The 11,413-nt window shown below is 42.0% G+C and overlaps 1 annotated feature.

The window, feature by feature from the left end:
- Positions 665–1,213: an enhancer, noted in NCBI's record as "OCT4-NANOG hESC enhancer chrX:72948368-72948916 (GRCh37/hg19 assembly coordinates)". NCBI's record gives its function as "activates a minimal SCP1, AML or CMV promoter by ChIP-STARR-seq in primed H9 embryonic stem cells {active_cell/tissue: H9 hESC(primed)}" and the evidence as "EXISTENCE:reporter gene assay evidence [ECO:0000049][PMID:30033119]".

Here is an 11,413-nt window from a genome sequence, read left to right as displayed (position 1 = left end):
GGGAAGGTCTAATTCTCCCTCACATTACCAATAAGAATGTATGTACTTACCTCTGTAAAGCCACTCAGTGTTCATCTTCCAGCTTCAAGTCGCCCCTTGCATTGCACTCTGCTTCAGTTGACTCTGGTTCCTGCTCTCTAGACAGCTCTGGGTTTAGGCCTCTGGATCTGCGGACAGGATATGGGTAGGCATGCTGTAGGAACTAATCATTAATTGTAACTGTTGTAGCAGCCACAATAACTAGCCAAGAAGGAGAGAAGCAGACAAGCAATGAGTGAGGGATGCTAGAGTCTAGGGTTGGGTAGAGATGAATGGTAGCAGAGGTGAGGTCACGTAGAGTGGGAGGAGGGAGATAATGGCAGTTCAGTGGCCTGGCCACTGGCTGGCAGAGAACTAGCACAGACTTTGGCTAGAGCATAAGCTTTTGTCACAGGCCTTCTCCGAGTCTTCTAAAAATAAAAACGTGTATGTGTGTGTGAGAGAGAGATGGAGAGGTGAGGTGGAGATTGTGAGTTTCAGTTGGGGAGGGGTTATCTAGGATGAGAGGATGTATACATTTATAGAGCCGTAAGGGCTTACTGTCTTTGGAGGGCCTAGAAAACACTGGCACCTAGGTTCTCCACTAGGGTGGAAGTGCTAAAATAAATGTCGGTGGACCAGCTGATATGTGGTAGGGCAGGTGGTTGACCCTATACTCTTTTTTTCATTGGGTTGCAGGGGGGATGGGGGCGGGTGGTGGCACACAGCCTCTGGGTCAGGTACTGGACCTCCCTCCCTTACAAAGCTGCCAAATCTTTCCAACAGAGCTGGACTCTCCTTCCTGCCCAGCTGCACAGAGATTTAAATAGTTACTTGGTTTCTCAATAGTTCTCCCAGAGGGCTAAAGATTGAGTCCCTTTGTTCTTCTGACAACCTGAATTGTAGACTCATTGAATTGAATGTGCTCTTAGTGACAGTTAAAAGAAAGCGAGAGAACAGTATTTATGCTCATTGGCCTCTCCCTGTTGGAATGCTGCCACAGTTCCCTACCATCCACCAAGCCTGGTGGCTGGGACCTGGGTGCAATGCCTATAGCTCTGCTGCCTGTTCTAACATCTTTAAAGCCCATGCTAATGGCACGGATGTATATTAACTCTGCTAGTTCTTACCCCAGACTCCCTGCCATTTCTTGACAAAGGGGACTTCTGGCCCCCATTATCCTCTCAATTATTGTAGAAGTGTCAACATTACCCAGTGGTCTTCCCTCCAATGCCTGAAATAACACCATCAGCCCTATTTTGTTCTTATTCAGTACCCTGAACATGAACCACTGTACTAAGGGCTGTCACTCCCTTTCTTGACAAAATAGCAGCTCCCTTTTTGGCTTTTGTTCAGGAAAAAATGCCTTTTGCCTTCATACTAACCTCTGGGTCTATATACTGGTGTTGTACCATGTGCAAACATTTTGGAAGGCAGGGACATGCAGGAGAAGGCTGCATATTAGGATTGGGATGAATATTGCTTTCTTATTTATGCTTTTTCCTATTTTGCTAAACATTTAGTTTAAAAAATAACAAAAAAGACAAAGTAGGGAAAAAGGTACCACATTAGGGTACTTTCTTTTTTTTTCCCTTTTTTCTTTTCTTTTTGAGACAGAGTCCCACTCTGTCGCCAAGCTGGGGCCCAGTGGTGCCATCTCGGCTCACTGCAACCTCCGCCTCCCAGGTTCAAGCGATTCTCCTGCCTCAGCCTCCTGAGTTGCTGGGACTGCAGGCGTGCACCACCAGGCCCAGCTAATTTTTGTATTTTTAGTAGAGATGGGGTTTCACGTTGTTGGTCAGGCTGGTCTCGATCTCTTGACCTTGTGATCCACCCTCCTTGGCCTCCCAAAGTGCTGGGATTACAGGCATGAGCCACCACACCTAGCCCACATTAGGGTACTTTCTAGGTTACTTGCTGGGGTTCTTTTTATCCAGTCCAACCTTTGCTTGGAGACAAGAAACAGGCATCTAACTCATTTCAGGTGGATGAGTGTTTCTACAACCATTTTCATTTTAAAATTCTTTAGGAAGTTTCTTATAAGTCTGGGATCTTCTTACCTGTCATCTCACAACCTCCACTCAATGAAGCAATATTTCTGTTTTAAAAGAAAAATACCATCTCCTTTCACAGTTCCTTCCCTTTAAATTACTTCAACAGACTTTCTTTGACCCTAGGTTTCTTTGTGTCCTTCTTAAACGTATGGCAGCACCAACTGCTTGGGTTCTCAATAGGCTTAGGGCTTGTATGTTTTATAAATACTGCCAGCCACAGTGGTAAGGGGGAGGCATTAACATATTAGCTTATGCCATAACTACACTAGACACAAGGGCAATTGAACTGATTCACTATGAGAATCAAACGTTTAGAAGCAGTCAGGATATTTGCTACTCTAATTTAATCTTCACATTTGATGTGTAAGAAAAAGAGGGAAATGGATCTGTCCCAGGCCACATAGTCTGAACTACTAAAATAACTCAAGTCTCCTGTTTCACAACTCTAGTGCTCTTTTGACCGTATTACTTAAGGGATTTTATAAAATGTAGATATGTCAAGCATTTGGGCACCATTTTGAAATAAGAAAACTAGTCTTTGGCACCATTCTACCCAGGACTTTTACTGGGAGCTTGCCCTATATTCTGGGCTTTTCCTTTTTTCTGCATCTTTCATTAATATGTCTACCCCAGGCCAGATCTTCAGGGCTCTGTGGCTGCTTTCCAAGGTGACAGCAGGTATGTTAACAGCCCACTCTCTCTCTATTCCTGTATTCTGGTAACAGTGTCATAGCTTAGAAGAATGATTAGCAGAATAAACTTCAGGCACTGTGAAAGATCAGCAAGAAGGATGTTTAGGGATGGTGAGATTCTGCGATGGTTCTCAAATCATACTATGTTAGTGGTATTTTAAGATTATACATTTGGCCAGGTGCGGCGGCTGACTCCAGTAATCCCAGCACTTTGGGAGGCCAAGGTGAGTGGATCACCTGAGGTCAGGAGTTCGAGACCAGCCTGGCCAACATGGCAAAACCACATCTCTACTAAAAATACAAAAATTAGCTGGGCATGGTGACGAGCGCAGGTAATCTCAGCTATTTAGGAGGCTGAGGCAGGAGAATTGCTTGAATCCAGGAGGTGGAGGTTGCAGTGAGCTGAGATCGCATCATTGCACTCCAACCTGGGCAACAGCAGCAAAACTCCATCTCAGAAAAAAAAAAAAAGCTTATACATTAATGGCCAGAACTTACAATGTTGTAGAAAATGGAAAAATATCTTTACTGTTGATAGAAGCACATCATTTTCCAAGCTTATCAGCCTCTCTAAGTCTAGAGGCATGTAAAGAATGAAAAATGATGCAGACTGCACAGCAGGTTTGGAACACCTCATGGACTTATAGGCAAGTCACTTGATCTTATATACCTTGCTTTCTTCATTATGGTTGATATGGTTTGTCTCTGTGTCCCTACCCAAATATTATCTCAAATTGTAATCCCCACATATTTAGGGAGGGACTTGGTGGGAGGTGATTGGATTATGGGGACAGGTTACCCCATGCTGTTTTCATGATGTTTCATGAGGGAGTTCTCATGAGAGCTGATGGCTACACAAGTGTTTGGCAGTTCCTTCTTTGCTCTCTCTCTCTGCTGCTGCCTTGTGAAGATGTTCCTCACTCCCCCTTCACCTTCTGCCATGATTGTAACTTTACTGAGGCCTCCCCAGCCATGCAAAACTGTGAGTCAATTAAACCTCCTTTGTTTATAAATTATCCAGTCTCAGTATCTTTATAGCAGTGTAAGAATGGACTAATACAGAGAATTGGTACCTGCAGAGTGGGGTACTGCTATAAAGATAACCTGAAAATGTGGAAGCAACTTTGGAACTGGGTAACAGGCAGAGGTTGGAAAAGTTTGGAGGTCTCAAAAGAAGACAGGAAGAAGTGGGAAAGTTTGGAACTTTCTAGAGACTTGTTGAATGGTTTTGACCAAAATGCTGATGGTGATATTAAAAATGAAGTCCATGCTGAGGTGGTCTCAGATGGAGATGAGGAACTTATTAAGAACTGGAATAAAGGTCACTTATGCTATACTTTAGCGAAGAGACTGGCAGCATTTTGCCTCTGCCATAGATATCTGTGAAAGTTTGAATTGGAGAGAGATGATTTAGGATATCTGGCAAAAGAAATTTCTAAGTAGCAAAGCATTCAAGAGGTGACCTGGCTTATTCTGAAAGTGTTCAATTATATGCATTCACGAAGAGATGGTTTGAAATTGGGACTTATGTTTAAAAAAGCAGCAGAACATAAAGGATTGAAAATTTTGCAGCTTGACCATGTGGTAGAAAAGAAAAACCCATTTTCTAGGGAAGAATTCGAGCTGGCTACAGAAATTTGCATAAGTAACGAAGAGCTGAATGTTTATAGCCAAGACAATGGGGAAACTGTCTCCAGGCCATGTCAGAGACCTTCATGGCAGCCTGTCCCATTACAGGCCTGAAGGCCTAAGAGGGAAAAATGGTTTCATGGGCCAGGCCAAGGACCCTGTTGCTCTGTGCAGCCTTGGAACTTGGTGCCCTGTGTCCCAACTATTCCAGATCCAGTCATGGTTAAAAGGGGCCAACATGCAGCTCAGGATGTTGCTTCAGAGGACACAACCCCAAAGCCTTGGTGGCTTCCATGTGGTGTTGGGCCTGCAGGTCTCCCAGAGATTCTGATTGTTTTGGAGTGGGGCTCATGCATTCATGTTTATTATATTTCTCAAGTAAATATCAAAAGTTGGGTTTGAAAACTACTGGACTATATGTGATTCTATGAGACGACCATTCCCAGAGAAGCAGTTGTAAAGATAAGCTATGTTCAAAAGGATTTGTAAAAGCAGCTCAGGCATGTACAGAGACACAGGAGATTTACTCTGGCCCCAAGATCCCTGGCAAAGGTGACTACAACTCAGGCAAGGCAGGCAGGTCCATACATACCCCTAGGAAGATGGATGAATCCAGGGGGTCAAGCAGTGTTGGTCTGCGGGCCCCACTTCCATGGCACCTCACAAGATAAGACCAACTGGCCCAGAATTCCAGCCAGCCACTGGCAACAGGGTAGCACCTGCCTGAGATGGGATGAAGTCATTGCAGGGAGGGGTAGGTAACCAACTTTGCTGTTTGTATGACTCAGGCGTTCCAGCCTGTGGGTCATGGAGTGTCCAAACAGTTTGGACTCTCAGCTGCTTTACCAATACATGGTCAGACTGCTTCTTTAAGCAGGACCCCAATCCATTCCTTTTCCAGCCAGGGCCTCCAGGCACCCTCACCCATGTTCTATGGATAGAATTCTGATTTCTCCCTGGGACAGAGTACCCAGAGGGTGGGGTGGGCCACCAACTTTGCAGTTTGCACAACTCAGCCATTCTAGCCTGTGGGCTTAGGAGAATCCAAGCTGCCTGGGGCAGAGGTGGTTCACCAGCACAGCACTGCTGTTTTGTTGAGGTGTGGCCAGATTGCTTCTTTAAATGGACCCCAATACATTCCTCCTTGCTGGTTGGTCCTCCCAGCCAGAACCTCTGGCCACCCCCACTTGTGTCCTATAGCCAACAGAGTTCTAATTTCTTCCTGGGATGGAGAGCACCACCTTTGCTCTTTGAGCATCACAGTTGTTCCATCCTGTGGGCCTTGGAAACCCAAACCAATTGGTGGCCGAAGGGATCCCCCAACACAACACAGCCACTCTACCAAAATGCAGCCAGATTGCTTCTTTTTTTTTTTTTTTTTTTTAAGTTCTGGGATACATGTGCAGATTGTACAGGTTTGTCACATAGGTATACATGTGCCATGGTGGTTTGCTGTACCTATGAACCTGTCATCTAGGTTTTAAGCCCCACATGCATTAGGTATTTGTCCTAATGCTCTCCCTCCCATTGCCCCCCACCCCCTGACAGGCCCCGGTGTGTGATGCTCCCCTCCCTGTGCCCATGTGTTCTCATTGTTCAACTCCTACTTATGAGTGAGAACATACAGTGTTTGGTTTTCTGTTCCTGTGTTAGTTTGCTGAGAATAATGGCTTCCAGCTTCATCCATGTCCCTGTACTCATTCTTTTTTATGGCCAAAATGCAGCCAGCCTGCTTCTTTAAGTGGGTCTCTGATCCCCTTCCTGTTGACTGGGTAAGAACTCCCAACCAGTGACTCCAGCCACATTCTACAGGTGTGTTCAGGCAGGCAACAGGTCAGTAGCCCCCTGGGATGAGGTTCCCAGAGGTAGGAGCAGGCTGTTATCTTTGCTGTTTTGCAGTCTTCACTGGTGATGCCTGCAGATACTGGAAAAACTGAGGCAACTAGGCTCTGGAGTGGACCCCCAGCAAACCACAGCAGCCCTAGGGAAGAGTGGTGAGACTGTTACAAGAAAAACAAACAAACCACCAACAACAAAAACAACAAAAGACAAAAAACCCAACCAAAAATCAGCAACTTCAAACTCAAAGGTAGATAAGTTCACAAAGATGAGAAAGCATCAGTGCAAAGACACTCAAAACTCAAAAAGCCACAGAGCCCCCTTACCTCCAAATGACCACAGCACCTCTACAGCAAGAGATCAGAACTGACCTGAGGCTGGGATGGCTGAAATGATAGAAGTAGGCTTCAGAAGGTGAATAAAAATGAGCTTTGCTGAGCTAAAGGAGCATATTGTAAACCAATGCAAAAAAGCTAAGAATCATAATAAAACAATGTAGAAGTTGACAGCCAAAATAGTATAAAGAGAAAAAGAGAACCAACCTGACAGAGCTGAAAAACAAAACACAAGAACCTCACAATGCAATCACAAGTATTAATAGGAGAATAGACCAAGCAGAGTAGAGAATCTCAGAGCTTGAAGACTGTCTTTCTGAAGTAAGCAGGCAGACAACTATAGAGATAAAAGAATAAAAAGGAATAAACAAAACCTCCAAGAAATATGGTATTATGTAAAGAGATGGAATCTACGACTGATTGGGGTACCTGAAAGAGACAGGGAAAATGGAACCAAGTTGGAAAATACACTTCAGGATATAATTCAGGAGAAGTTCCCCAATCTAGCTAGACAGGCCAACATTCAAATTCAGGAAATGAAGAGAGCCACAGTAAGATACTCCATGAGAAGATCTCCCTAAGACACAGAGAATCATCAGGTTCTCCAAGGTCAAAATGAAAGAAAAAATGTTAAGGGCAGCCAGAGAGAAAGGCTAGGTCACATACAAATGAAATTCCATCAAACTAAGGGCAGACTTCTCAGGGAAAACCCTACAAGCCAGAAGAAATTTGGGACCAATATTTAACATTCTTAAAAGAATTTCCAACCCTGAAGTTCATGTCCAGCCAAACTAACCTTCCTAAGTGAAGGAGAAATAAAATCCTTTTAGGACAAGCAGATGCTGAGGGAATTCATCACCACCAGATCTGCCCTGCAGGAAGGAAGCTGTAAATATGGAAAGGAAAAACTGTTACCAGCCATTACAAAAACATACTGAAGTACATAGACCAGTGACACTATGAAGCAACCACATAAACAGGTCTGCAAAACAACCAGCTAACATCATGATGACAGGATTAAATCTACACATAACAACAATAACCTTCAATGTAAATGGACTAATTGCCCCAATTAAAAGACAGAGTGGCAAGTGGGATAAAGAACCAAGACCCACAGGTATGCTGTCTTCAAGAGACCCATCTCATGCAAAAACACACAAAAAATGGAGAAGTGCCTCCCTTTGGACAGATGCTGGCCCAGCCACCCCATGAATCCTCACAGAAAGGCAGATCCCACCACAGCCCCCAGGAAGAAGAAAAACCAGTTGCGCTGTGAGGGAATAGAGATAAAACAATAAAAAGAAATGAACAAAACCTCTGAGAAATATGGGATTATGTACAGAGACCGAATCTAGGACTGATTGAGATACCAAGCAAATAGAAAACACAGAAAAGCAAGTGTTGCAAGCCTAGTTTCTGACAAAACAGACTTTAAACCAACAAAGATAAATAAAGACAAAGAAGGGCATTACATAATGGTAAGGAGTTCAATTCAACAAAAAGAGCTAACTATCCTAAGTAGATATGTACCCAACACAGGAGCACTCAGATTCATAAAGCCAGTTCTTAGAGACCATCAAAGGGATTTGAACAACCACACAATAATAGTGGAAGACTTTAATACCTCACTGACAATATTAGCCCAATCATCGAGATAGAAAATTAACAAAGACATTTAGGACTTTAACTCAGCACTAGATCAAGCAGACCTAACAAACATCTACAGAACTGTCCATCCCAAATCAACCTAACTATGTAAAAATGACTAGCACTCCTGTATATCAACAATAGGCAAGCCAAAAGCCAAATCACGAGTAAACTCTTTCACAATTGCCACAATAAGAATAAAATACCTAGAAATACAGCTTACAAGGGAAGTGACGGACCTCTTCAAAGACGGCTACAAACCACTGCTCAAAGAAATCAGAAATGACACAAACAAGTAGAAAAACATTCCATGCTCATGGATGGATAGGAGAAATAAATATTGTGAAAATGGTCATAGTTCCCAAGGCAATTTACATATTCAATGCTATTCCCATTAAACTACCATTAACATTTATCACAGAATTAAAAAAAAAACTATTTTAAAATTCATGTGGAATCAAAAAAGAGCCTGAATAGCCAAGGCAATTCTAAGCAAAGAGAACAAAGTTGGAGGCATCATACTTCCCAACTTCAAACTTTGCTAAAGGCCTACAGTAACTAAAATAGCATGGTACTGGTACAAAAACAGACACATAAACCCATGGACAGAATAGAGAAACCAGAAATAAGATTGCACACCTACAACCATCTGAACTTCGACAAACCTGACAAAAACAAGCAATGGGAATATGATTCCGTATTCAATAAATGGTGCTGGGAGAACTGGTTAGCCATATGCAGAAAATTGAAACTTGACCCTTCCCTTACACTATATACAAAAATCAACTTAAGATGGATTAAAGACTTAAATCTAAAACCAAAAATCAGCCAGGCATGATAGCTCATCGGCCTGTAATCCCAGCACTTTGGGAGGCCGAGGTGGGTGGATCACCTGAGGTCAGGAGTTTGAGACCAGCCTGGCCAACATGGTGAAACCCTGTCTCTACTGGAAACACAAAAATTAGCTGGACATGGTGGCGCATGCCTGTAATCCCAGCTACTTGGGGGGGCTAAAGTAGGAGATCTCTTGAACCCAGGAGGCAGAGGTTGCAGTGAGCTGAGATCGTGCCATTGCACTCCAGCAAGGGCAACAAGAGTGAAACTCTGTCAAAAACAAACAAACAAACAAACAAACAAACAAAAAACAACAACAACAACACAAATCACAAAGTCTTTAGATGAAAACCTAGGCAATACCATTCTGGATGTAGGCATGGGCAAAGATTTTATGACAAAGCCACTAAAAACAATTGCAATGAACGCAAATATTGACAAATGGGATCTAATTAAATTAAAGAGCTTCTGCACAGCAAAAGAAACTATCAAGAGTGAACAATCTACAGAATGGGGGAAGTTTTTCCATCTATTTATCTGACAAATTTCTAATATCCAGCATCTACAAGGAACTTAAACAAATTTACAAGAAAAAAACCCCATTAAAAAGTGGGCAAAGCATACGAACAGACACCTCTCAAAAGAAGATATACATGCAGCCAACAAACATGAAAAAAGCTCAACATCACTGATCATTAGAGAAATGCAAATCAAAACTACAATGAGATGCCATCTCACACCAGTCATAATGCCTATTATTAAAAAGTCAAAAAATAACAGATGCTGGAGAGATTGTGGAGAAAAAGAAGTGCTTTTACACTGTTGGTGGGAATGTAAATTAGTTCAACCATTGTGGAAGACAGCGTGGCAATTCCTCAGTGATCTAGAGACAGAACTACCATTTGACCCAGCAATCCCATTACTGGGTATGTACCCAAAGGAATAGAAATCATTCTATTATAAAGACACATGCATGTGTATCTTAATTGCAGCAGTATTCACAACAGCAAGGACATGGATCAATGTAAATGCCTATCAATTATAGACTAGATAAAGAAAATGTGGTGCATATACACCATGGCATTATATGCAGCCAGGAACAAGATCATGTCCTTTGCAGGGATATGAATGGAGCTGGAGGCCATTATCCTTAGCAAACTAATGCAGGAACTGAAAACCAAATACTGCCTGTTCTCATTTATAAGTGGGAGTTAATGATGAGAATGCATGGACATATGGAGGGGAGCAACACACACTGGGGCATTTTGGAGATGGGGGATGGCAAGAAGGAGAGGATCAGGAAGAATAGCTTGTGGATTCTGGGCTTAATACCTGGGTGATGGGATGATTTGTGTAGCAAACCACTATGTCACACATTTACCTATTAACAAAACTGCACATTCTGCATGTATACCCTTGAACCTAAAATAAAAGTCAGAAATAAAAAAAGGAAGCATTGGACTTAAATTGGACTTTAGACCAAATGGGCCTAACAGACATTTACAAAACATTGTACCCAACAACTGCAGAATATACATTCTACTCATCAGCATATAGAGCATTCTCCAAGATAGACCATATGTTGGGCCTCAAAACAAGTTTCAATATTTTTTTAAAATGGAAATCACATCAAGTATCTTCTCAAATCAAAGCAGAATTGACCTAGAAATCAATAACAAGAGGAACTCTTGAAACAATAGAAACACATAGAAATTAGACAACATGCTCCTAACTGATCTCTGGGTCCATGACAAAATTAGGGCATACATTAAAAAAATTAAACAAACGGAAATGGAAACACAACATAAACAACATACCAAAACCTCTAAGAGACAGCAAGAGCAGTGCTAAGAGGAAAGTTCATAGCATTAAATGCCTACATAAAAAAATACAAAGATCACAAATTAAAAGCCTAACATAGTACCTCAAGAAAATAGAAAAACATGAAAAAACCGAAGCTAAAGCTAGCAGAAGAAAATAATGATCAGAGCAGAACTAAATAAAACTGAGGCCAATAAAACAATACAAATGATCAATGAAATGAAAAGCTGGTTCTTTGAAAAGACAAATGGAATTGATAAACAGCTAGCTAGACTAACCAAGAAAAGAAAATCTAAAATCATAATCAGAAATGAAAAATAAGACACTACAACTGATGCCTCAGTAATACAAAATATCATCAGAGAGTACTATGAACAACCATATTCTTACAAACTAGGAAACCTAGAGGAAATGGATAAAGTCCTGGAAACACACAACCTCTCAAGATTGTGCCGGGAAAAAATAGAAACTCTGAACAGCCCAATAACAAATAATGAGACTGAATCAATAATTAAAAAAAGTCTCCCAACAAGAACAGAAAAAA

The sequence above is a fragment of the Homo sapiens genome, chromosome X (assembly GCF_000001405.40).
Source record: "Homo sapiens chromosome X, GRCh38.p14 Primary Assembly".
NCBI classification, from domain to species: Eukaryota; Metazoa; Chordata; class Mammalia; order Primates; family Hominidae; genus Homo; species Homo sapiens.
This window is presented reverse-complemented; position numbering and strand designations above follow the sequence as displayed.